At 41.0% G+C, this 27,331-nt stretch overlaps 1 protein-coding gene and 1 long non-coding RNA gene across 12 annotated transcripts in view; one reads left to right on the top strand and one right to left on the bottom strand.

The window, feature by feature from the left end:
- Positions 1–16,657, top strand: part of PTPRB-AS1 (PTPRB antisense RNA 1) — a 103,372-nt gene extending 86,715 nt beyond the window's left edge. For both annotated transcript variants that reach the window (XR_001749196.2, XR_945075.4), the window contains 3 exons: positions 3,187–3,285; positions 5,812–6,203; positions 14,705–16,657. This is a non-coding gene — a long non-coding RNA (PTPRB antisense RNA 1). The remainder of the gene's footprint in view (positions 1–3,186; positions 3,286–5,811; positions 6,204–14,704) is intronic.
- The window catches only part of PTPRB (protein tyrosine phosphatase receptor type B), a 121,560-nt gene that overhangs the window by 38,924 nt on the left and 55,305 nt on the right, over positions 1–27,331 (bottom strand). For 6 of the 10 annotated variants that reach the window (NM_001109754.4, NM_001206971.3, NM_002837.6 and 3 more), the window contains 11 exons: positions 26,243–26,509; positions 21,589–21,852; positions 17,031–17,294; positions 16,233–16,496; positions 14,882–15,145; positions 11,642–11,911; positions 8,051–8,314; positions 5,878–6,141; positions 4,550–4,831; positions 1,077–1,355; positions 367–516 (listed from right to left, as the gene is read on the bottom strand). In NM_001109754.4, the coding sequence (NP_001103224.1) occupies positions 367–516; positions 1,077–1,355; positions 4,550–4,831; positions 5,878–6,141; positions 8,051–8,314; positions 11,642–11,911; positions 14,882–15,145; positions 16,233–16,496; positions 17,031–17,294; positions 21,589–21,852; positions 26,243–26,509 (2,832 nt within the window). Of the gene's footprint in view, positions 1–366; positions 517–1,076; positions 1,356–4,549; positions 4,832–5,877; positions 6,142–8,050; positions 8,315–11,006; positions 11,112–11,641; positions 11,912–14,881; positions 15,146–16,232; positions 16,497–17,030; positions 17,295–21,588; positions 21,853–26,242; positions 26,510–27,331 lie in introns of those variants that run through there. The other 4 variants (NM_001330204.2, XM_011538614.2, NM_001206972.3 and 1 more) reach the window with 3 other exon arrangements.

The raw sequence follows: 27,331 nt of genomic DNA on the forward strand, positions 1-27,331 counted from the left end.
GTGAACAAGACTGACCCAATAATGAAGAGGACTGAATAAGGCATTACATGCAATGCACTTCCAATAGTGCACAGCACGTAGTAAGGGCTCAATAAATGATGGTTATTGTTATTATCGTTGTGGTTGCTATTATCATTACTCTTCTATTTAATAATTAAACCCAGAGGATAACAGGCTTTATTGCCCAAAGAGCCTTTGAGCAGCTTTTTCTTACATCTCCCTGTATCCAGCAGAGAGAGGGGTGAATGATACAAAAATTACATTTTCTACTTAAGTTTCTTAAACTTTGTCACAGAAAGATCTCCCACATGACCTCTGAGGAAGCAATTCTGTGTCTCAGAGTGGAGTTAACTCATGATAACTTACCATCAGCCTCTCTCACCACCACTGTGAAGTATTTCACAGCTCCATTGGTGTCGCTGAACCAGCTGCAGTTGACAGTAAAGTTGATGGAAGACTTGCTAATTAGCACATCCTTTTCATTCACACGAATGTGTGGGGGTGGAGGAGGGGGGCCTGGAAAAAGAGGTGGGGAAGGAACCAAGAGGGGTCACAACTCTGCTTTCACAGCATAAACAACAGTTAGTGAAATGAAGGATTCTGCTCTCCTGCATCAGACTGTGTGTGTGTGAGCGTGTGCCTGTGTTTAATGCTGTAATCAAGAAACTCTCCCCTTCTCCTGAAGGAAAACAGGCAGAGGAAGTGATTTGCCAGTGGCACATTAAACATAATGAAAGAGGTAGCTCTTCAGCAGAATTTCCTGAAGTTGTAGCTTCAAATTGCTTAAGAGCTCCATTATAGCTCTAACTATATGAGGCAAAGTGATATATTTAAATACTAACTCATTCAGGTACTTTAAGACCATCTAACTTGTTTGCTGTCAGGGTACTTTACCCAGAGAAATGTTTCCATTTCTGGAGACTTTTAGGTCCTCCTCTCCAGGTGGCAATCAGACAGGCTTATGCAAAAGTGAAGTGTATGCAAGTGAATAGCAGTGATGGATATGATAGAGAAAGGTGCACAGCCCCTTCACTCCAGTGACAGGAGGCTCTGTGCGCACCTCCAGGGACACTTACGGTCTATCATTGTGATAGTGCTGTCTTCAACCACCTCGCTGGTCATGCCGGCCGACTGCACTTTGATGGACACCAGGTACCTCTTATGGGGCACTAGCATCATGATGTTGAGCAGAGATTTTTCTTTCTCCAGCTTTCTGGAAAACTCAACTTCTTGGGTGTCCATTTTCCGGCATTCAATACTATAACCATCAAAGTCAGAATCAGGAGGGATCCAAGAACAGGCAATGGCCGTGGAGTTCTGAGGCCGGCAATGCAGGTTTTGTATCTTGTCAGGCTCTAAAGGAAACAGAGGAGGCAACACTTTTCAGAACTCAGGGAGAATTTTTTTTTTTCAGCTCCTTTGGGTCCAACTAGCTCTGAGATCTAGGTATAGGAGGGACAGACAGGCAAATACAGAGTGTCGTGGCTCACCCTAGCAGAGACACATGAGCATAAATCTCCCAGGGAACCAAGGTTGGGGTAGGAAAAGCTGGAGGACAGGTGTGGACAAGTCTGAGTAACAGTTAAAGAATGCCTTGATGGGCTTATTAATAGTTAGACGTGGCTGAGGACAGTCTCTGAGCCTGAGGATATATCAATAGAGACCTTCCAAATGGAAAAAGCAAAGAAAACAAAGACTGAAAAGCAGAACAGAAGATCGAAGGACCATGGAACAACCACAAAAGGTGTATCCTACACAAAATGGGAATACCAGAAGAAGAAAGAAAGGAACAGAAGAAATATCTGAAACAAGAATGACTAAGAATTTCCCACAAATAAATGTTAGACACCAACCACAGATCCAGGAAGCTCAGAAAACACCAAGGAGGATATATGCCAAAAAAACTATGGCTAGGCATATCGTTTTCACACTACAGAAAATCAAAGATAAAGAAAAATTCCTGAAAGAAGCCAGAGGGGGAAAAACAACTTACATATAGAGAAGCAAAGTTAAGAATTATGTCCTCCTCTGAAGCCATGCAAACAAAAAGAGAGTGGAGTGAACACTTCTTTCACGTGTTGAGAGAAACAAGTACCTACTATGTGCCAGGTGCTCTTCTGGGGATTATGAACAGTACAGAGGTAAATAAGACGTTAGCTCTAACCTCTACAAATGGAAATGAGTCCAAAATAGCCATAACACAAGGTAGAAAGGAAAACATACCAGAAGAAATGGTGAGAGAAGGTGCTATGTGGTGTGACACACAACTTTTAGCTGCTGGCTATTAGTGATCAGCAGGAGTTAGTAAAAGCTGTAAGGCAGAGGTGACACTCTGCCAAGGTATCACGAAAGAGGCATTCTACGTAGAGAAAAACCAGAAACCCAGGTACCAAAGGAGGAGGTGCCGGAGTGGGATGGTAGAAAATTGAGAACTGCAAATCATTCATTATGGTTGAAGCATATTTGTGAGAAATTGAGTACTGGAATGATTTTACATGAAAATTATAAACTTCTATTCTATTTAAACTTCTGCTATTTTGGATTTTCTGTTACCCATAGCCTCACCCGATCCTAATAAATACAAGCCTCGAAGAAAACAAAACAAAACATAACAAAACAAAAACAAGTTCCACCATAATCATTCCTCATGAAACAGCACTGAGTCTCTCTTTCATGGCAGTTTTTGTCCTCTTGGGCACTCCCCCTTTTGGTAAATGCCTCCCTTAAATTCTAGCACCCGGGACTGAATACAACAGTCCAGTTGTGACTTATAAGCCTAGCCTCTAACAGAGTTGTATGAGCTCTTAAACTGAGCACCTGCGAGGCTGTTGGGAAAGGCAGTCTCATGTGCATAGTCTATCAACCCCCATTTGGCTGTGTAAGAAATGGCCCTTGAGCTTAAGATACTTTCTTACCAAGAGATGGAGAGCCTACACACCCTGTGCTGGGCTCATTGCCTTGTGTGGGAGTATCATTCCCTGTTGCAAGCTCAATGTATGCTCTTTTGTTCTGCTTAAGCATGTGTGTCACATGGTAGATGGCGAACACCAATGCTATAGTTGTCCTCTGAGGAGACAGGACAGGGTCCTTCTACTGTGGCCCGAGAGGGGTGCACTTAGCCAACTGCCCTCCATTGGCTGCTGGAAGAGACCACAGACAATGCGCCCTTCTGTTTTCTGTTGTCAGGGTTGAAGATAGCAAGTGCATCTCTGGGCAACTACTGCAGCTGGCTGTGGGGGACTGATGCATACTGTTGAGGCTGATCTTACTCTGTCTCCTCTCTATGTAAGTAAAGCTTTGTTCCATCCAGTGTTTGCATTGTGTTTCCCTGGCTACTCTAATACCAGATGCAATGGTCAGAAGTGTTTAGAGTTCTGCCCTGGGTTTGGTAACCAGTGCAGGGTGTTCTGCTTAGCAGATTTCATGAACACAGCCCACAGTCAGCCACGGAAAACTCATCCTGAGCTCGCCATAAACTAAAACTCTTAGTTCTTTTTCACATATTTCTCTTGACACACAAATAACTGCTCTTTGGATACAATGTGGCATAAAAGTTATACTTGTTATAGTATTAATGCTTATTAAAAAAATAAAACAACTACTTGCTTAAATTTCTAACTTTCAACTATGTATTTTATCAACAACCAATAACTATCTGATCTGATCCCAGAAGCTACTTATACTGGGTATTATTGAAACACAAATATTTGGATTAAAGTCCCTACACTGAATACCTGTCTTTCTTTGAGGGTGATAGTATCTATCCCAAAATGCCTTTGGGAAGAAACTGGTATATGCTTCGTCGTCGAAGTATTTTTATCTCAGGGACATACAGCAGTATATGCTAACTATGATCCCTCTGCTTCTAGTTTTGCCTCTTTCAATCTATTCTCTACACTGTACCCAGAGTAACTTTCTAAAGTGTAAATAATGATTATGATATCTCTGCTGAAATTGAGTGGCTCCAGTTGGTTCAAAATAAAGTTCAAAGTAGTTACCATGGAATACAAAATATTTTATTATCTGATTCCCTTAATCCTCACCTTTTATGCTATGGCCAAATAAACTTCTTTCTGTTCCCCTATTGGTAGATCTTGTACTCTCCCTCCTCTCTCATCTTGGAATATTTTATTCTCTCTACCTGGAATATTCTCCACTTCTTCCCCTACCTCTACCTGGTAAATCTCTTGCTTTAGGTTTCTATTTGGATGTTTCCTTTTCCAAGAAGTTCTCTTGTATTGGGTCAGATTACCTAACAAGTGTCTCCATAGTACCATTTACTTCCCTCATCACACCCAAAATATAATGTCTATTTACAAATAGTACGTCCTACCTAATTGTAAGCCCCATGAGGGCAGAGAGAGATTTATTGTCCCTTGTTGTTAATGTTGAATGAACGAACAAATCTACAGAGACTTCTGCCTGAATTCAAATCCAGACCAATCCCATGTAAAAATATGGATTTAATCCAAGCCCTATTTGAGTAAGATGTTGAACATATACTTCCTCTACTCCATTTGAGAAATAAGAGTAGCAAAACATGTCATACTTGTCCTCACAGATCCAAAAATTGGTTTGCTGTAAGTTTTCCAGGAATCACCACTGACAGTCTTGACGTTGAATTGATAGGATCTCCCTGGACGAAGACCATACACAATGCGTCCTTCTGATTTTCTGTTGTTGTAGGGGTTGAAGACAGTAAGTGCATCTCTGGGCAACCACTGCAGCTCAAAGTCGTTGTAGTCTGTCCAGTCTGGGGGCCCTTTCCACGTGATGGCCAAGGATGTGTTTGCAATGTCAGCAAATGACATAAGACTGGGAGGACTTGGAGCTGAATGTAGGAGAAAGTGAAAAATCACATAATCACAGCTATGCCATAACATATACAAATAAGATAGCTGAGCAACATCAGACACACTTTTAATGTACTTTGTAGGAAGAGATAATATGATAATAATATAGTAGCAGGAGCTTTCATTAATAGTGTTTATTATGTGTAAGGCACTGTCTTCGAGCATTTTATGTACTTTTTTTTTTTTTTTTTCACTTTTTTTTTTTTGAGACAGAGTTTTGCTCTTGCTGCCCAGGCTGAAGTGCAGTGGAGTGATCTTGGCTCACTGCAACCTCCGCTTCCCAGGTAGCTGGGATTACAGGCACCTCAGCCTCCCAAGTAGCTGGGATTACAGGTGCCCACCACTACACCTGGCTAATTGTTGTATTTTTAGTAGAGACAGGGTTTCCTCTCGTTGACCAGGCTGGTCTCGAACTCCAGACCTCAAGTGATCCACCCACCTCGGCCTCCCAAAGTACTGGGATTATAGGCATGAGCCACGGTGCCCAGCCTCATATACCTTTTCTTAAATATTCATAGCCAGATCTTCCTTACCATGGTGCTGTGGAGCATGAGTGTGCCCTGAATGGGTTACAAGTGTGTGAAGATATTAATTCCATCAGATTTTGGGGTACAGGGCTGACGTCCACAGACAATTATGTTCAGTTGCAGATAGCCTTGTTGATTAACTCCAGGGTGGCACACAGACCTCTGTGTGTGCCCATGACATAAAAACAGTTAGGAAGCACTGGTGATAGCCACACAGTGATGATGTATATGATTATTCCCACTTTGCAGATAAGAAAACTGAGGCCTAGAGATGCTCAATGACTTGCCCAGATTCATAGAGCTAAGCTAAGGACATATTTCTTTTGGACCAAAGCCTTGTCCTTTATCTGTTGTCCCACAGTCCCTTCCCAAATTCAGGGGCTAGCTCAGGGTATATCATTATTGGCTTTATCTCTTGTCATTAAAATCAGAATCAAAATGTGTCTCTGGAAGCTACTTCCCACCATCCCTTGGCCATTGGCACCTGGGCTTCTCACCTGTTCTGCTCTCCGCTGTGACTTTATTGCTGAGATCTCCACTGTGAGTTACCACCCACAGCACGTACTTCCTTCCAGGAACAAGGCCTTGAAACCGCCACTCCGTCAGGTCCTTGTCTTTCCAGTTTTCCTTCTTTGTGCCATTGGGATTATAGAGAATCAGCTCATAAAAGTCAAAGTCCCCAGAGGCTGGACTCCAGTTGAACCAAAGGCTGTCTGTCGTGTTCCGATTGGACCCCCTGAGATGACTCACAGAGGCTGGGACTTAAACAGAAGAAAAATTGTTACTGAGAACAAAACAGAAACACAGGCATTTTGGCCCACAGGTGAGAGTATATGCTATGTTGGGCATGTGGGTGAGTCGTACATATTGTAGTCAGATCTTGCCTACATTTCAGGCCATTTAACTTTAAGGGCATATGGACTAGAGATATGGTATAAATTAAAACAAAACAAACCAGGTGGTGACTTCTAGATGCTTGCCACATGGACCCTGATAGGCATGTAAAATGAAATCTTCATAAATGATGAATAAATCGTTGTCATTTAGCTTATGAAAAAGGCCCAGAAAATGTATATACGAGGTTCCAGCTCCTCCCAGTGTGGCCTATCTCATTGCAGCCACCATCCCATAACAACCCTCTCTGGGTCTCTTTACATCCTCTGTACCCTCCTTTAGGTTCTCAGTTCTCTTGTGCTCTTTTTTATAAAATCTGTATTGGTACAACTTCATTTAGGGAGAGAAGTGTTAACAGTCACTCCTATCACTGTATAGATTAGTCATGCTGCCACCTATCCCAATAGCTTTGCTATTTTTTGGAGAATGAAGACTGTTGCCACATTGGGAGACCTTTAAGCATTAATGAGCAGGTAAGGAAAGATGTGCAAAGGGTGGGTTGCCTCAGAAATGATGACATCTAGGCAATTCTATTTGTGGTTGAAGCTTATCGCTGCTCTTTTTCACTCCTTTCAAAAGACAAACAGAACTTCTGTTGGGTGCCCTTGGAATATGTTCCCACGTGGCTCCCCTCACCTTTAGGTCTCTGCTGAAATGCCTTCTCCTATCTAAAGCAGTTGCTTGTCCTGCCAAGTCACTATCATGACACATCATTTTTTTCATAGAATTTAAGGCATTCCCAGATCATCTCCCTTTGATGATCTGTCCTTGTCCTCTTCCCTCCCCGCTATTGCAGAGTTCTCTGAGGGCAGGGCCCTTGACTGTCTTGTTCACCGTCACATTACAGCAGTGGGCCATGTGCCTGGCACAGAAGAGCACCTAAAACTATTGTCAAATGAGAAAAAAGAATTGAATAGGTGGGCTGACCGTGGTGGCTCACGCCTCTAATTCCAGCACTTTGGGAGGTCGAGGCAAGAGGATTGCTTTAGCCCAGGAGTTCAAGACCAGCCTGGGCAATACAGGGAGGCCCCCATCTCTACAAAAAATAAAAATTAAAAAGTTAAAAGTTTGCCATGCATGGTGTCGTGTGCCTGTAGTCCCAGCTACTCGGGAGGCTGAAGCAAGAGGATCACTTGAGCCCAGGTGGTCGAGGCTGCAGGGAGCCATGATGGCATCACTGCACTCCAGCCTGGGCAACAGAGTGAGAACTCGTCCCCCCCCAAAACATTTTTTTTTGAACAGGAGATAAAGGACTCAAATTATGGGAAAAGGGTAGATTCTGTTTTTTGTTTGCAGCCCAGAGAGATGTCTCTCACTTTCCTGGAACTCTGTGTTTTCACTTCATCTAGCGCTGTGTTTCTAATTCGCAGCAGTCACTGCCTGTTTGTTATATTTGTGGTTGCCCTTCTCTGCTCCTGCTCTCCTCTCCGTCTATTTCTTGTTAGAAAGCTGAAGGGTGTAGCTCGAATTAAACTATGATGGGTTACAGCCCTCTTGTACAGTTTGATGGCAAGAGGAGGAACCGCATTCATTTTTTACCAAGCCCTAGGAAGTAAATAAGTGGAGGCAAAAGAGCAGAAGCCAGTGCAAAAACTAGCCACAAATTAGTTATATATAATCAAAGGTGCGATTTAGGGTCAAACAGCCTGAAAGTCACAAATGCCATATAAAGCTACATCCTGAATAGAATAGGAAACTAAGGACCAACCAAGGAAAAGCCAGTGAATACCGGGACAATTCCCCCACGATTCATTACTGCTTGGGTCTTGGTCTTACCTGTTCTACCAAATATGAAAGACTCATTAGACAGCTCCCCACTGTGAGTTACAATCACCATCTTGTACATTCTGCCTTGTAGCAAGTTCTGGAAAGAGAAGCTCTGGACTAGTGGGTCAACTTGAGCTCTCTCCTGGAGATTCCCATCTGGGTTGTACAAAAAGATGTTGTACCAGCTGAGCTCCCCCTCTGAGGCGGTCCAGCGGAAGGACAGGTGCCTGGTGGAGTTCTCTGTGATCCTCAGGTCGGTGACAGCTGCTGGGACTGGAAAAGTCGAGGAGCAAGAGAATGAGGGAGGGAAATGCAGTGAGGAGAAGGGAGCAGGTGGGGAAGAGGGAAAAGCAAACAGAAAGAGGAAGTTGGATTCAGTGATACGGGAAACAGTAACAATAGGAAAAGCCAAAAGCACTTTACAAAAATCTTCATGTTAGAATTTTGCAAACCCTTTTGGACTTCTGTGCTACCTCTTGGCAAGGTCAAGTGCTGCTAGCAACCACCTCCTTGCAAACTGCTGGCACAGATGCTGCCTGATTCCTCAGAAGTCTTAAGATGCCAGTAGAAACAGAACAGGACATCTGCCTTGATTTCGCCTGAGTTCTCTTTCCTCCACCCCAAATGCTCTTTCTCAGGCTCTCTTTGCTTTCTCCTCTCCTTTTGTCAGGCCCTTACAAGGTGTTATTTCCCATGGATCCATCCTTTGTTTCCTTCATATTCTATAGCCCCAGCTGAGCAATCAGTCTCATTCAATTTATGGATTTAACTAGCATTCTGGTCCAGATCTTTTTATGTCCAGCTCACTTCTCTTCTGAGCTCAAATCCATATTTCCAAATACCTATGGTCCCTTCTCTCTGCAAGTCACTCAGGCATCTCAAACTCAATACACAGCTGAACTCTGGAGTTTTGCTTGACCCTCTCTCCTCCTTCTTCTATCTCAATTAATGGCATCATCTTCTACCAGACATCCCAGGTGAAAACTCTGGAATCTTCTGTCCCTTCCTCTATAATCCACTCAGCCCCCAAGTGCCACTTAAGCTAATGCAAAAATATTTCTTGACTGTACCCACTATTCTTCACCAGGGCCCCTGCATTCATTCAGCTATTGGTCCTTATCATCCTATGACTGCAGTCATGTCATGACCCCCATTACCTGTCCATCTGCATCCCCACCACTCATCCTCGCTCACTCTGTTCCAGCCATATGGGCCTCTTTACTGTTCCTCCAACAGGTCAGACACACACCCACTCAAGGTCTTTGTGTTGGCATTGGCTCTGCTTATAAATACCCAAATATTTGCATGACTTTCTCATTTCTTTCAGATTTTTACTCAAATGTCACTGCCTCAATGAAGTCTTTGGGGACTGTACTATCTAAAATTGTAAGTCCCGACCAGGTGCAGTGGCTCATGCCTGTAATCCCAGCACTTTGGGAGGCTGAGGAGGGTGGATCACCTGAGGTCAGGAGTTCAAGACCAGCCTGGCCAACATGGTGAAACCCTGTCTCTACTAAAAATATAAAAATTAGCCGGGTGTAGTGGTGCATACCTGTAGTCCCACTCGGTATGCACTCGGGAGGCTGAGGCAGGATAATTGCTTGAACCCAGGAGGTGGAGGTTGTGGTGAGCTAAGATCGCACCACTGCACTCCAGCTTGGGCAACAGAGGGAGACTCCATCTCAAAAAAAAAAAAAAAAAATTGTAAGCCCCTTGACCAGGCGTGGTGGCTCGTGCCTGTAATCCCAACACTTTGGGAGGTTGAGGCAGGTGGATTTCTTGAGCCCAGGAGTGCGAGACCAGCCTAGGCAATGTGGAGAAACCCTGTGTCTACAAGAAAATACAAAAATTAGCTGGGTGTGGTGGCACATGCCTGAAGTCCCAACTACTTGGGAGGTTGAGATGGGAGGATTGTTTGAGCCCAGGAGGCAGAGGTTGCAGTGAATTGAGATTGTGCCACTGCACTCCATCCTGGGTGCCAGAGCGAGGTTCTGTCTCCAAAAATAATAAATAATAATAATAATAATAATAATAATAATAATAATAATAATAATAAATAGATAGATAAAATTGTAAGCCCCAACTCTTGCTATCCCACCTTCCTAACTTAATTTCCTTCTTGGTCTTTATTACCACCCAACCTCCTACATCTTTTACTTATTTATTTTATTTATTGACTTTCTTCCCCACTAGACTATAAACATAATGACCATGGGAGTTTTTTTATTCACTTCTGTATATCCAGCAGTTAGAACAGTGCCTAGCCTATAGTAGGTACTCAATAATAAATGAATTGATAGGTGGATCTCCTCACTTCTGGTTCATTTCCATTCAATCCATTCCCCCATTGCTATCTGATTTATCTTTTTAAAGATACATCTTTTATTACAAAACAATTACTCTCTGGCTAAAAGTTTTGTATTGCTTTAAGATAAAATTCCTGAGGAAGGCTACCAGGCACCCTCTAATTTGGCTCCAATCTGGCTTTCAGTCTCACCTTTCCATCATGCAACACACATTTCAGCCACCCACAACTTCTCCTTTCTCCTGTTCATACCTCTTGGCCTTTGCACAGGACAGACTGTCTGTACAAAGTATTCTACCTTCTCTCCATAAGGAGAATTTCTTCATCCTTCAAGGCAGTACTGAAATGTCACTTTTATGAAGATGTCTCAATTCTACCTGACCTCCATGCTTCCCTGAATGCCAGACATCCCTCTCTTATATGTACTCTTTATCACAATGCATTGCCATTATTTGTCCATGTGTCTGTCTCGTCAGTCAGCTCTTTAAGGACGAGAAGCATGCCTGATTCATCTTTATGTCCCTGTCAACATAACCATCCCCGCCTTCAGACCTATGTACTTAATAAATAAGTTATCAATCAATTAGGCCAATGTGGTTGTCTGAATAATGGCCCCAAAGATGTCCATGTCCTAACCCCCAGAACCTGTGAATATGTTACCTTCTGTGGCAAAAAGGGCTTTGTAGATGTGATTAAGTTAAGGATCTTGAGACGAAGGAATTATCCTGGATTGTCCGGTTGGTGACCAAGGTAATCACAAGAGTCCTTAAAAGATGGAAGAGGGAGGCAGGAGAGCAGAGAAAGAGATGTAAGGTCCCATGCAGAGATTGGAGCAATGTCACTGTTGGGAGGGGGACACGAGCCAAGGAATGTGGGCGGCCTCAGAAGCTGAAAAAGGCAAGGAGTGGATTCTCCCTCTAAAGTGTCTACAAGAAACACAGCCCTGTTGTCTTGATTTCAGTCCCAAAAAACCATTTTCAGATTCTAATCTTCAGGACTAGAAAATAATAAATTTGGGTGGTATTAAGCCACTAAGATTGTGATAGTTTATTATAGCAGCAATAGGAAGCTAATAGCACCAATATTAATGAAAAATCAGAAACAGAGTGTGGTGGGCTGAGTCCTGCGTGGATAGGGCAACTGACATGGAAGTGGCAAATCAGGGTGAATGTTCCCAGCGTATCAAGAGATAGATATCATCTCCCAATGTTGCTTCATCCCTCTCACCCTGGGGTTCTTACACAATAGCAGACATTGGCAATATGTGCTACAAAACATTATGCTGTGCTAATTACCTGTTCGGCCTTCAGTCTGGGCTTCCTTGCTAAAGAGGCCTCCACTGACAGTTAGGATCTGTATCTTGTATTTCTTGCCTGGTGTTAGATCTTCAAATTTGTGTTGCTTAGTGGTGGCTGGCTCTGATGTGTTGCGCAGAAGGATTCCATTTTCAGTTAGAAGCAGGATATCATATCTTTCTGCCACACCAGCAGCTTTTTGCCAACTTACTATTAAGGAATAACTGCTGTATGCATTGTCTGCAATTACTCCTTGGACAGATGCTGGAACTGCAGAGAGACAAGTGGAGCAACAAAATACAGATTTTATCACTTAGGGTAAAGTCATCAATTGAGAAAAACTCCTGAATCAACTGCAGGTAGAAGATGATGCATTTGCTTTATTTGTGTGTCATTGACACTTTCTGTGTGCCCTTATGGAGAAAAGAGGAGAAAGGATTTGTTGGCTTAACCTGTCTGTACAACTACTTTGATTCTCCATTTTTTCTCTGATTTTAAATAGGATCTCAGATAGAAAAGTTAGTGAAAATGGCCCTGATAAATATGCAGAGTGGTGCATACCTATGAATCTAGAAAGTGAAGAATGCTGAGCAAGTTCATGTTCAGTGAATGTGGGTTTGACAGCTGAATTATGTCTCTTGTTTAGACTTTTATTACTAACATTAACTAAGGTCAAAACTTCAAGACTTGACTTCAGCAGTAGTGGATACTAGTATTTGTTCTATAGCTCCTGAGGTGAAAGGCAAAATAGTATTATTGTTATTATAATAATATTTTCTGTACTAGGTTCATTTCTTTTCTCATTCTACATAATCTTCCTAGATTTCGTCTATGTCCATGGTTTGAAGTGTCATCCATAAGGTGACAACTCCCAAATTTAAACTTTCAGTTTAGATGTTTCTCCTGCTTTTGCAAATTACATCTCTCCCTGAATGTACCACAGACATCCAACACTCAAGACGTCCAAATTGGACTCCTCATCTCCCTCCCCCAATATTCTCATTGTTTTTTTGTTTCTATCTCTTGGTTCAAGTCAGAAACTTCAGTTATCACTCTCACCCTTGTATATATAATCAAATACGAGTTTTATTTCTGTATCCTAAATCTTCTATCTCTTGAATCTAGCCACTCCCTCTTTGTGTACTGCTACTACCTCAGGACCACATCATACCCTTTAGCAAGTATAAATGAGACCATACATTATTGCAACTGCCTATTGACCAGTCACTTGTGTCCTTACCTCCTACTCTTTCAATCTGCAGACTCTATCTAGCATATTTTCATAGCACTCCCATGCTAATGGCCCTATAGTGGCTCTCCATAATTCCAAAACACCTTCACAGGCAAACAAAGCTCTTTGTGATTTGGTCTCTCTACTTACCTGGCCACATGCCTCACATTTTTTATTCTAGTATACTTTTGCTTTTTATACTTTTAGTAGAGATGGGGTTTTGCCACGTTGCCCAGGCTGGTCTCGAACTCCTGGACTTAGGCTATCCACTCACCTCAGCTTCCCAAAATGTGGGATTACAGGCATGAGCCACCGTGCCCGGCCTTTATTCTAGTATACTAAAAAAGGTGTAGGTTCCCAAATGTGCCATCCTTTCTCTCACCTCCAGGGCTTTGTTTTCTCTGTTGGAACGAAGACAACTTACACTTCACCTGGATGACTTCTTAGTCTTTCTTTAAATATTACTTCCTCCTGAAAGCCTTCCCTGACTCTTCTTGTTTGCTCCTCTAACATCTCATAACCACTTTTTTCTTAGCACGTACCATGTTTTACTGTAATTGCCTTTTTACTTTTCTATCTCCTTCACTAGATTATAAGGTTCTTGAGGTCAGGGGCTTTGCCTTGCTACTGAATGCCCACTTTCTTTTTTTGGAGACAGAGTCTCACTCTGTCACCAAGCTGGAGTGCAGTGGCATGATCTCAGCTCACTGCAAGCTCCGCCTCCTGGGTTCATGCCATTCTCCTGCCTCAGCCTCCCGAGTAGCTGGGACTACAGGCGTCTGCCATCACACCCAGCTAATTTTTTGTATTTTTAGTAGAGACGGGGTTTCACCATGTTAGCCAGGATGGTCTCAATCTCCTGACCTTGTGATCCACCCACCTTGGCCTCCCAAAGTGCTGGGATTACAGGCGTGAGCTACCGCGCCTGGCCCGAATGCCCACTTCTAACACAGGATTTGTCATAGGGTTAAAGATATGCAGATATAGATATAAATATAGATATGAAATAGAGGCATAGTAGGGCATGGTATAGAAGCCCCAGACCCCACAACTAAATAAGTGGTCATGAGAATGGGAGACATCTAAGAAGTATTGTGTCACAGTGGAGAGGGCACGAGGTTTGGGGCCAGACAGACCTAGACTTGAATTATAGCTTTAGGTCTTGTTATATACGTATCCTTGATACTGTTTTACAAGCTTTCTGAACTGTTCTTTCCTCATCTGTAAGAGAACTATAGTATGGCTAGAGATCTTTCAAAAATAATACATGAATAGTGATATTGATATAAACAGATATATTATTCATACATTTGATACTTGTTTTTTTAGCTCTACCAGGTAAAGTAGATGGCACAGATGTGTACTCTTTCTTAAAAGGTAGAACTTTTGAAAAATGCATAATTATGGAAGTCTCCTTATTAAAATTTATTTATTTATTTATTTACTTATTTATTGGGACAGGGTCTCACTCCGGTTGCCCAGGCTGGAGTGCAGTGGCACGATCACGACTCACTGCAGCCTTGACCTCCCGGGCTCAGGTGATTCTTCCACCTCAGCCTTCCAAGCAGCTGGGACTACAGGTGTGCACCACCACGCCTGGCTAATTTTTTGTATTTTTAGTAGAAATGGGGTTTAGCTATGTTGCCCAGGCTAGTCTCGAACTCCTGAACTCAAGCAATCTACCTGCCTTGGCCTTCCAGGGTGCTGGGATTACAGGCGTGAGCTACTGTGCCCAGCCTGCTTGTTAAAATTTAAAATTTTATTATCCTTTAGCAAGTATAAAAATGTGTTCAAATGATTTGGTTTCTGATTCCCTTTCATTTGTTTTGCAGATCTCTATTAAGAGAAAAATACAAAGAATAAATGAGTAAGGCTCTTGAAACCATTGAATTGTACAAACTTTGGTGGTTTTAAATCTGGATTTGTGAATAGCTGAGCCCGTTCACTGTCCCATTTTGGAGAACCATGAGGCATTCTACAATCTAGCCCTTCTCCAGGTGGATGCTTACCTGTCCGCCCAACCACATTTATCTGATTCTTCAGGGACCCGCTGACTGAGGCAATCATGATCTGGTACTGCTCCCCGGCCTCCAGTCTGTGGAACGTGTGCTCAAAGACGTGCTTGGGAATAGTCTGAGAGTCAACCTTTTGACTGTGCCTGAATGCCGACACCGTGTAGGAATCAACGTCTCCCCCACCAGGAGTCCAGTTCACCGTCAGGCTATCTGTTGCTCCATTGGGAGAAATGTGAATATTTTTGACAGCACTAGGAACTAAAACAGAAAATAAATTTAAAAGTCATCACTTAGAGAATGAACTGTTGAAATTTTCAAACAAAGTTTTGAATGCTTCTGATGTTTTGGCACCCACTGAGAGAACTCACATGAAAAAGAAAGTAACAATTTGCCACTTTTCTCTGATTTTTCTGTGTGAACTAAAGTTGATGGGGGAAAGCTTAGGGGGAAGTCAAAGCCGGTGAGTGGAAATGAGGAATGCTAATTATATAGCGAGGGGCTAGTTAGGGTGTCTTGGTCCAAGTTTTGGTTTTCTCACTCACTAGCTGTGGGACTACAGGCAAATTACTTGACCTCTGTAAGTTTTAGTTTCTTCATTAGGAAAAATGGCAGTGATGATAATACTAACCAGCCCATAGAGTTGTGAAGATTGATTCTTTTTTAATTTAATTTTATTTTATTTTTGAGGTAGGGTCTCTGTCTGTTGTCCAGGCTGGAGTGCAATGGCATGATTATGGCTCACTGCATCCTATACCTCCTGGGCTCAAGTGATTCTCCCACCTCAGCCTCCCCAGTAGCTGGGACTACAGGCACGTAACACCGTGCCCGGCTAATTTTTTTGTATTTTTTGTAGAGACAGGGTTTTGTCATGTTGCCCAGGCTGTGCTTGAACTCCTGGGCTCAAGCTATCCTCCTGCCTTGGCTTCCAAAGCATTGTGAAGACTGAACAAGATGTAGACATAAAATGCTTTGCTGTGGGTCTGGTTCATGGTGAACTGTCAGTACATGTTAACTACTATGGCAACACTCCTAAAAGAGTTCTAAAGAAGTGATACCCAAGTAACACTTAATTCTTAATCTGTGTGCCTCAGAAGCACCAGCTGATCACATCAGTTCATTGCTATTTCTCTGAAAGCACCCTCCAACCCCGCCACTCTCTGCTGACATCATACTTTATTTTCATTCATCCAGGTTGGACAACATCATTGTCACTATCAACATGACTTTGTCCCTTCTTGCTGTCTCCCTTTTATCCCTCCAAATGCTCAATCGAAATACCTGAACTACCCGAAAGTTAAATGCACCACTGCATCTATTCAGGTTCAAGAACAGTATTTCACATTACCTGTGAAGCCCTCAATGAAGGCTGACTGCTGTACATCCCCGCTAATCGTCAAGACAAGAATTTTGTATTGGCGGCCTGGTGTTAGGGAAGTAAATCGATACTCGGTTGCGGTATTTACAAGGTGAAAAGGAGGAAATACTTTCATGTCATTGAAGAGCAGCTGGATCTCATATTGGTCGACATCCCCATTAGCTCCTGACCAAGTCACATGCAAGTCCTCAGTGCTCCTGTTGCGCAATGTTAGATCCTTAACAGGCTCTGGAACTAGGGAGAAAAATGAGAAGACATTTCAGGAAAGGAACTGATCAGAGTTTACCTACATAATAATTTATGAATCACATTCAAGGAACTGGCAACATCTCCCTTCCCCAAATAAACCACTAGCACTACTTCATGCATAATTAAACAAGAAAAATTGGAAGCAACTATTAACATTGTGGTTTTTTCCTGACATAAATGTTACATGATCAGCATTGGTAGAACATAATTATAAAATGAGTTATGATCTCAATCATAAGATAAAACAAGAAGTCTAGAATCTAAATGCCATGATGCAGGAAGATAGGGAAGAAAAATGGGACATTTAGCCTTCTTGCTCCCTCACTATGTTTGCTTTTATCTACCAATAAATATTCTGTAATTATAGGCCATGGCTTGGCTGAATGATGTTAGCACCAAGTGAGACTTACTGGGAATGTAATGTACTAATGAATAAGCAGAAAAAATTCAAGGTTCAGATAAATTACTAGAGACTTTCAAGTCCAACCAACTGTCAGATTTTGCAATCGTTCCACTTACTTGTTCTCCCATTCCCTTGTTCATTGGCTTCATATTGTCCACTTTTTGTAGTAACAGTGACACTGTACAACCGTCCAGGGACTAGCTGAACAAATACACATTCGTTTTCTGACTTGGGAATGCTTTTAGTTTGAATGAAGTTGTTTTTGTTTTTAATGGTGACTTCATAGTGATCAAAGTCTCCAGTGGCATGCACCCAGGATACCCTTAAATAGTCACTCCTGGCTGAGTTGCTAACACTGACTCCCTGGACTTTGTCAGGCACTGAAAAGGAAACAGAGAGTAACTAAATATTTATGAATTCTGAGTGAGTAATTGATCACAGATGACAAGCTGGGACAATAAAAAGAGAGAGTAGATTATTATTGTGTGCATTTAAAAGAAAAATCTTAGACCTTAGGTTACAAATTTCTGGAGGGGAAAGATTGTTACACTATGTGGAGTGATTAAACGGATCTTTTAACAGAAGCTGATGAACTCATTCTAAGCCTGCTGTTTGCCTGCACAAAGTGTCATGTATAAGATGGAACATTAAACATGATGGCTGATGATTAATATGAGTGATGGTAAACGATATAGATAATTCCAACATACCTTGCTGACTCAAAAGTTACTAAGAAGAATATAAGCAATCCCCCAACCCGCCCCCCTCAAAAAAATGAGGCTATGCATGGTGGCTCACACCTGTAATCCTAACACTTTGGGAGGCTGAGGAGGGCAGATCACTTGAGGTCAGAAGTTTGAGAACAGCCTGGCCAACATGGTGAAACCCCGTCTCTACTAAAAAATACAAAAATTAGCTGGGCATGGTGGTGCACACCTGTAGTTCCAGCTACTCGGGAGGCTGAGATGGAAGAATCACTTGAACCCAGGAGGCACAGGTTGCAGTGAACCAAGATCACATCATGCCCCTGCACTCCAGCCTGGGTGATGGAGCAAGACTCCATCTCATAAAAAAAAAAAAAAAAAGAAAAGAAAAGGAAAAAGAAAAATGGAAGAAGAAACACATATGGTTATTTGCATAATAAATGAAGAGATTTTCCACATCACTGGTGATCAAGGAAATGCAAGTCAAAACCACAGTGAAATACTGTTTTACATCCATTTGACTGGCAAAATTAAAAAACTATATAAAAACCACGTGTAGAAGAATATATACAGGAGACTGGATAATGAATACATACATATACACACATACACACACACAGTGAAATATTATATAATAGTTATAATTAATTCCTTAACTCAAAACACAAAAATATGGATTTCTTGTCCTTAACATCAAAATACAAAATATGGATGAATCTTACCTGTATAATAAGTAAAACATCTAAGTCCCTAAGATATTAAATACTACATTAAAAATACCTTTTTAAATAATGTTAAAAACAACAAAAAATTTTGAAACCCATAATTTTAGGCCTGTATATAAATGCAATAAAACTATGCAAGATGGAAAGCAAGGGAGAGGTGAACATAGGAGTCAAGATGTTGGCTACCTTTGAGTGAATTCACGAGGTGGGGACCACATACTTTGATGTAGGTTATTGTCAAGGTCCTAGCTTTTATTTTAGGTACTGGTTGGTTTCTTGTGTACATGTTAAATTATCAAAAATTACTAACTAGATGCCTAAAAAGTAAAGGTGGCAGTTGATGCATGGTTTCTTTTTTCTTTTCTTTTCTTTTTTTTTTTTTTTTTTTGAGACAGAATCTCACTCTCTTGCCCGGGCTGGAGTGCAGTGGTGCGATCTTGGCTCACTGGAACCTCTGCCTTCTGGTTCAAGCGATTCTCCTGCCTCAGCCTCCCAAGTAGCTGGGATTACAGGTGCCTGCCACTACACCTAGCTAATTTTTTGTATTTTTAGTAGAGATGGGATTTCACCATGTTGGCCAGGCTGGTCTCAAACTCCTGACCTCATGATTCTCCCGCCTCGGCCTCCCAAAGTGCTGGGGATGCATGGTTTCTTGAACCAAGAATTATGATTAATACAATTTTGTGCATGTGAGGTTCTTTCTAATATATGAACGAAACCATTCTGTATATCTGTGGTCCCCTCCCCAACCAGTAAATAAATATATGCATGTTACTTAGGAACACTGTGGAATAAGGCAATTCTGTATTTAGAGCATGATATTAAGGAGATTTCATTTTTCCATTTGGGGCTGAATTTTAATTCAACAGTAGGCCACAGATTCATTACTATTTCACGGTAACTGGACATTATACATATTAATGAGGAGGAGCATTGAAAAGAGGCATGAACTCGGATCCAGGGTACTAAACTCTTGTCCTAATACTAGCATGTCCTCTGTATTTGGTATATATTAGGGGTTTCTGATCTGACCACATGCCAAGGCTGTGTCCAATTTTTCACCTCTACTTTTTCTCAAATCATGAAATGATCCAGAAATTTCAGTATTTTGGCATGGAAGCTCCATTTTCTCACACCTGCAAGTTGCATTAGCATCCTTTGTTGCCTTGTGTTTACTGATTAGTGTTTGGAATATAGCTCACCACAGATATGGAGCAAGGACAGATATGCTTTCTCCAAGATATTTACCTAAAACCAATTACAGTGTTGTTAGAATACAGTCATCACAGAGTTAAGGAGAGGAAATTATGAAGTGGCATTTTATGCATGGGCTAAGAAAGGTCAATGATCCAGGCAATTTGCTAAAGGCAAAGCAACTATTACAGGAAGAAAAACCTGGCTGAATATCACGTTAAGTCAATAAGGAGCTCTCCAGGTGGAACGGGGTAATTTGTGGAGACCTGCCTTGCTACACAGTGAGATGATGTGATACAGAATTAGAAATATTGGTATTTTCACCCAAAATGTAGAACAAGAGCATCAGAAATGGAAAAGGGCATTAAGATAATCAGCCAAAATCATCAAGAGAACAACTCAGACATGACCCTCCAGTTAAACTGATTTGTCAGGGGCAATGATTTGCCTCCATTAGTCGTGTACCAAGTCCAAGTTCATGCCGGTCAAGGAGTCAAGAGGATGCACTGAATAAAGAATCACTTTCTTGCATTTTAAAACAATCTCAGCAAAAGACTTGGCAATATTAAAGTCATACGGATAGGAAATCATCATGAATTGACATTGGTAGGAAGCAAGGGGTTGGTAGTTAGGTAACACATCCTTTAATTTCTGGTGATTTTTAGGCTCCAAGTTGATCAATATGAGACCCTGACATAAGACTGCTTTGTAAATAGAAATCTGCTTTTCAGATCTAAGTCATTATTGTGATTGTCAGTGTAATTGGGCTTCAAATTATTCAAGGGTAGGGATAATCTCTTTATATCCCTGACTAGTGCTCTCGGATACAGCATGATGGAATGGACAGCACTGGAGCTAGACTGAACTCCACTACCAGTCAGCCCTGCAACCCTGGAGAAGCCACACTCCTTCTCTGGGACTTCCTTTATATCCAAATGAGGAAACAGGATTAGATCATTCTAAGGACCCCTTCAATGTCAGCATCCTGTAACAATATAAATCAGAGGTTCTTAGCTTTTTGGAGGTCACAGAAACCATAAGAATCTGATAAAAGCCATGGACTGTTTCTTCTCAAAGAAATGCATATACCTTTCCTATCCCCAGCAACCTCATAAACAATTTCAGGGGTTACTACATTCCTAAAGTCTCCCATGAACCATGGACTCCCAGGTGGGACCCCTGATCTAAGTGATTTCTGATTATTCCTTTGCCAAGTATTTACTGAGTGCCTACTAAGCCCCAGGTCCTGCGCTAGGTAACAGGATAAGGACAATTGTCTCAGAACCTCATGGAAAAACTGACATTTTAAAATACAGAAATCAACCCATAGCTTAGTAGGAAACATTTGACAATGTATTGATGCCAACCTTAAGCAGAAATCTCAGGTATAAACCCCAGAAAGCATAAATATATTGGGAAAATGGTAGCTATTTAAATTTAATTCTTTCCAGCACATTGGACTGAACATTCATTTCCTTTGCTAAGATTTTTGCTCCCTAGTCCCAGAACCATAAAGGTTCACATTTTCACCTTGTGTGAAAAAGGATGAATAGTGGTTTTGACCAACAGACATTTCAGGATGGATTTTAGGATGGAGAGCTTTGTAGGCACTGGAGTCATTCAGAACTGGGTTTAAAACCAGGATCTGAAACACACTGGCTGTTTAACAAGGTAAACAGTTGGGCGAGTTACTTGACCTCCCTGAACCTTGGTTTCCTGATCTGTAAAATGGGAATAATAACAATGACTACCTCAATAAGGAGTTCATAAGGGTTAGTTATAGTTAAGATATATAAAGCCAGGCCCTAGCAACCAAAAAGTACTCCATAAACGGGAACACTTTTTTCACTATTTGAATATAATATAAATTCTAGTCACACAGGGTCTGCTCACATAAGGAGTTTCTTGGGTTAAAATACGAAGACTTCATAACAGTTTTGTGATCTCAAGGGCCTTTCATCCCATCATTACAGAATTGCTACAGCTCTGTGGTGCCCTGAGCCACATGTGAATTGGTTCTTACGGAGCCCTGAACCTTCATACAGCCTTACCTGTCCGCTCTTGGCTGAAGGAGTGATTTTCATACTTGCCACTCCTTGTAGTTATGGTCACGGTGTAGAGGCGGCCTGGGGTGAGGGAGCTGAAGGAACATTCTCTGACAGACTTGGCAATGACAAGGGACTGAACCACCTTGCCGTCATGAGACAATGTTACCTCATAGTTATCCACATCTCCGGGCGCCAGCAGCCAGGAAACGCTGAGGTAGTCATTACGACCGGAATTGTTCACCGTTACTCCACTCACACTGGAAGGGACTGTGATTTTGAAAGGTGGGGGGCGGGGGGGGGGGGGAAGGGGGATTCAAAAAGAAAGACACAGTCAAAAGTTTGAGTCGTCTATTGCAGTCAGCACAAACCGTGGACTCACTCAGGAGATCTAATCTGATTATATAAGAGGTCAAGGAAGCGTGAGGATTTCACTCAGCTTCCAGAAGCTGAGTGTTCTTACATCAGAAAACTAATCAAAATAAAAATGTCCGGAGGCCTTTGGGATGCCTCGTAAATACAAGGATGCCACTACTGCATTTTTATGGGGTTGCTGTTTGTAAAGCATTTCAAGTGGAGACATCCTTATACAATGTTTTAGAAGGTTCCCTGTAAGAAAGGGAACAAATATTTCAACAATCTAAATGAATCAACTTGAACCAAACTTACCAATAAAGCAAAAATGTTTGAGTGGAAAGGGGAAGAATACGATAGCTTTTCTAAAGACCTTAAACTGGGATAGCTTCAATTTTTTTGTGATGAAGTTATTCATTCCTGGGAAGTAATAGCTAACACAACCAGAGGGACCGTTTTCCCTTTGCAAGGCATTTCCTGCCCTCTAGTGGTAAGAAATAAGCCTAAAAACCTATCTTGGAAGTAAGAAGTCTGGAAGCTGGACCAACCAAGGGCAGAGAGAACTGTTATGGCGATAATGGGTTTTCTGATGTCAACTATAATCATTTGCTTATATGAATTGGGGATTAGTGTCACAAACGTTTACTGAGAACCTACTATTTGCCAGGTATACAAAAATGAAAAACGCATGAATGTCTTCAAGAAGTTCTCTGGTTGGAGGTATAGTCAGCAAATTAGTAATTGCAGTATTGAGTAAAAGTTGAACCACATATCAGAAATAGGTGCCCATTAAATAGTACTGCCATAAATGAATATAGGGTTAAAATATTACAGTATATATGAACTACACTACTGTTTTAATCATTAGTTGATTAACTTAACAGTTTCATATGATTGTCAATATCAGTACATCACTTATAATGGACAGGATTTGGCTAGATGACTTCTGAGAATCCTTCTAATGTAATATGTTCGGACTTTGTGAATTAAGCCCCAAAGCATACCTTATACTTAAAAGCACTTATCCATCACTAAAAATTATAAACTGCATTCTAGTGAACAACTCTGGTAATGTTGATCCACATATATGGACATTTCCTAGATATAAAGTTGAACTTTTTAGCCAGAAGATTTATATATTGGTACATCTCTTCCTTCCTTTTCTTTCCTTCTTTTCTTCCTTTTTGCTTTCTTTCCTTCCTTTCTTCTGCCATCCAACCATCTATACATCCTTTAGTTGCTCTCAAAAGCAACTCATTATGCTTGTTTTTAAAAACTGCTGGAAATATTTGCAACTACTAACATTTTATTAGAAAAGACACAATTATCAAAAGTTTTCACAGAAATATGATTCACATGTTTAAGAAAAAATAGATACAAAATTTGTTTTTGCTTTAGGATGAGCATTTTCCCAGATTAGAATTAGATTTGTTAAGTATATCTAATATCTTTAATTTTAAATATTCTGCCATCTTATCTGGGCTGGGAGGGTTTATTTATATGTTTCAACTCAGTGGAAACAGGTGAAATATAAGAATACCTTTCAAAATTATTTCAATATTGACTAATGTTTCAGCAATTTGAGGAGATGATAAGGATTATCAAGGCCTTACCCACTGAATTCTTTACAATTGACTGTGTACAAAATTTACTAAAAGAGGCACCTTTCAAAATCCCTATTATTGTGCTTTACAGGAGTCTCCCATTTTCCCCTTTATCGTGATAATGTGCACTCTTCATATGTTTGAGTAAAATAACTCGTGCTCAATTTATTCATATTTGATTCTCTCCTCAAAACTTTATGACCATTCTTCAAATAATTTCTTGTCCCTTTTTCCCTTTTTTGAATGCTTCTATTATATAATATGGGTCAAATACTTGTACCTTTATTCTAATTAAAATATAAATAAAAATATAAATTAAAAAATAAAAATAATTTTAAGTCCCACTTACTTAAAGTACACAGTTATTTCAAGAGATAGCACAGACTAGACTATTTTAGTAGCTCACAATAAGTTGGACAATCCTTGTGGTATATAAAATGAGAATCAACCTGTGTGGCAGAATATGGTTCCCCGACCATTTCCTTTTCCTCTTGACACACAGCTAGACTGCATTTCTCAGGCTCCCAGGCAGTCAGATGTAGCCATGTAACTGAGTTCTGGCCAGTGGAATGTGGGTGGAAGTGAAATGCCTACTCCCAAGTCTGATGAGTTGTACCCCTCCCCAACCTCCATTCTCTGGAGAAATGGGGAGAGCTCTGAGGACCTACAGCAAAGAAGAGCCACTGATAGTAGGAGACTGTATCCCAACCAATAGAGGCATCCAATCATGAACACCCACATTATACAGTGTCTAAGCATGAATTAAATCAGTCTAATGTGACTGATACAACTGCAAATCACTGGGAAATGAATGCAAGGTCGTCCTCCACTCCTCTCCTCAGCTTTATTATTTCTCCTTCCCTATTCTGACACCCAGGGTAGGAGTGAATTATTGTGTGTGGATTAAAACACAGAAGCTTAGGGAAATAAGTTAATGGCAGAGCTAGGACCAAAACCTAGGCCTCCTGATTTCCATGCTAAGCTTTTCAGCTACCTACCCCCAAGTATGCTACACCAATGGATGGTGCCAAGAACCATTAAAAGAAAGGAAAGAAAATATCAGGGAGAAAGATGCAGGTGACAGGCCGGGCGCAGTGGCTCACACCTGTGATCCCAGCCCTTTGGGAGGCCGAGGCAGGCAGATCACGAGGTCAGGAGATCGAGACCATCCTGGCCAACAAGCTGAAACCCTGTTTCTACTAAAAGTACAAAAATTAGCTGGGCGTGGTGGTGCGTGCCTGTAATCCCAGCTACTCGGGAGACTGAGACAGGAGAATCGCTTGAACCAGGGAGTCGGAGGTTGCAGTGAGCCAAGATCGTGCCACTGCACTCCAGCCTGGCGACAAAATGAGACTCCATCTCAAAAAAAAAAAAAAAAAAAAGAAACATGCAAGTGACAATGTCAGCTGTCATAGAATGAGGGAAATGGGCATACACCAGTGAATTTCTACCAAGACTATGAAACATCTTCTCAGTGACTTCATTGTTCTTCTGGGAGAGTTAATGAAGTTAATGTCCTCTGGGTTCATTAAGTAGATGAGATTCATGATTTTGGAAAGAGATGCATCTATGATGCCTGCAGCTGATAAACAGAATTTGAGTGTTGAGGATGCAGAAGGAGAAGCCTGAAATCCAACTTAAAATAATTATATAAAATTAAGTAGACAAGGTCCCACTAATAATTATCAAAGCTTCTATTGGGTTTATGTAATTTTTTTCTAAGAAATGAACATACATTTTATATATCATATATATTAATTTTTTATGTTCTTTCATTGTATTACATAGAAAATTCTATGTAATTTCTTCCTCGGTGCCATGGCTCCCTGACATACATGACCATAATGACACTTATTTGTTTACTTAGCTTTCTAACAGGGAGCTATTAAGGTCAAGAAAAATTGTTTAGATAGCATATTAAGCACTTGTTTAACGTTGCTTATGAAAATATATGAGACCTGAAAATTAGATCAACTCCACCTCTAACCATATTAATTGGAGATCATTTTCTTTTTATGTCTTGCAAACCAAGAATATATAAGAGTGAAAGATGCTTTCTTTGGGAGGTTTGTTTTGTTTTTTATCCATTATTGTTTACCTTAACTGGAACATAAACATTTCAAAGGAAATCAACTGAATAGGGGGATAAGTCTAGACATCGAGTGAGGAGTTCTTACATGTTCATTGGAGATGTTAAAATATTCAGCCAGGAGTGGTGGCTCACGCCTGTAATCCCAGAACTTTGGGAGGCCGAGGCGGGTGGATCACCTGAGGTCAGGAGTTCGAGAGCAGCCTGACCAACGTGGAGAAACCCTGTCTCTACTAAAAATACAAAGTTAGCAGGGCGTGGTGGCACACGCCTGTAATCCCAGCTACTCGGGAGACTGAGGCAGGAGAATTGCTGAACCCAGGAGGCGGAGGTTGCGGTGAGCCGAGATCACGCCATCGCACTCCAGCCTGAGCAACCAGAGCGAAATTCCGTCTCAAAAAAAAAAAAAAAAATCAGAATTTATTCTCTCTTGCCATCACCCATCGCCCAATTTCCATTCCATATACCTTCTGGATGGCTAGCTTTTGTGAAACTTAGCTTTTGTAAAGGCCAGGGATGAGTCTGATTTTAGGATATTTCTATAATATTCTGATTAGGGGTCTCATGTACTCAGATCTTAGTTAAGTCACAGACACATATCTCTACTTCTTACCTGTTCTTCCCTCCACAACCACTTGTCGGGAAGAGATCCCTCCACTCACTGTTGTTACCACCACGGAGTACAGGCTGCCGGACTTGAGAGAGTGGAAGCTGTATCTGCTGGTCTCACTGGAGATGCTTTCATTTTTAATGACCACATTTTCATGGATCAGTAAGACTTGGTAAAATTCTACGTCTCCTTGTGCCTGGGTCCAGTTAGTAAACAGACTACTGGTCATTCCTTGGTTGGCCACATGCAAGTCAGTCACTTGGGCAGGCACTAAAACAGTAGACAGAAGAAAAAACAAATGACACTTAGTCACCTTAAGAAAGTGTAAGAAAAATGAGTCAAAAAATGGAGACAGACTTGAAAGTACTAAAAATAATTTTTGTGTTGTTGCTATAGACTCTCAGTTCTATTTCCTGTGGCATATGGAGAACTACTCCTCTAGAGAGGCTCTAGTACTTTGAAAAAGCTGCTTATATAGGGAATCAAAATTATTTAAGATCCAAAGATGAGATGATGCATGCTTATTAAGTGGTTTTGATTTTAAATTTTAGATAATGAAGGCTGCTATTTTTGAAAACTGCTTAGTTAATGTGATTTTATCTGTCCTTACCCCATGAGAATTCAAAGCTATCTAATCTACCTGAGCCAATGATTGTTATGGGGTGGTATTGGGAATTCCCTTCAGTCTGTTGATTATGGTCTAGCAAACTGATTAGTTCTATACTGGCACATTCTTAAAGGGGCTGTTATTATACATGAACATGTGATAATAATATAAATTATAATATATATATTAAAAAATAATGATAATAACAACAACTACTGAAGGCCTACTATGTGCCAGTTATGAGCTATATGTCTCATAAAGGTTACATTATTTGACACCCATTCAGAACTCTATAAAGTTGACTTTATTATTCCATTTATTAACAAGGAAACCAAGGATCATAAAATGTAAGTAATTTAGCCTATATCACAGTGCTAACAAATAGCCAACCTGGAACTGAAAGCTAGATTTATCTAACCCCTAAGCCTGTGTCCTTTTCCTAATTAACAACATTTATTTCTTCCAACTTATCATTTAACAAATCT

The sequence above is a fragment of the Homo sapiens genome, chromosome 12, assembly GCF_000001405.40.
Source record: "Homo sapiens chromosome 12, GRCh38.p14 Primary Assembly".
Lineage (NCBI taxonomy): Eukaryota > Metazoa > Chordata > Mammalia > Primates > Hominidae > Homo > Homo sapiens.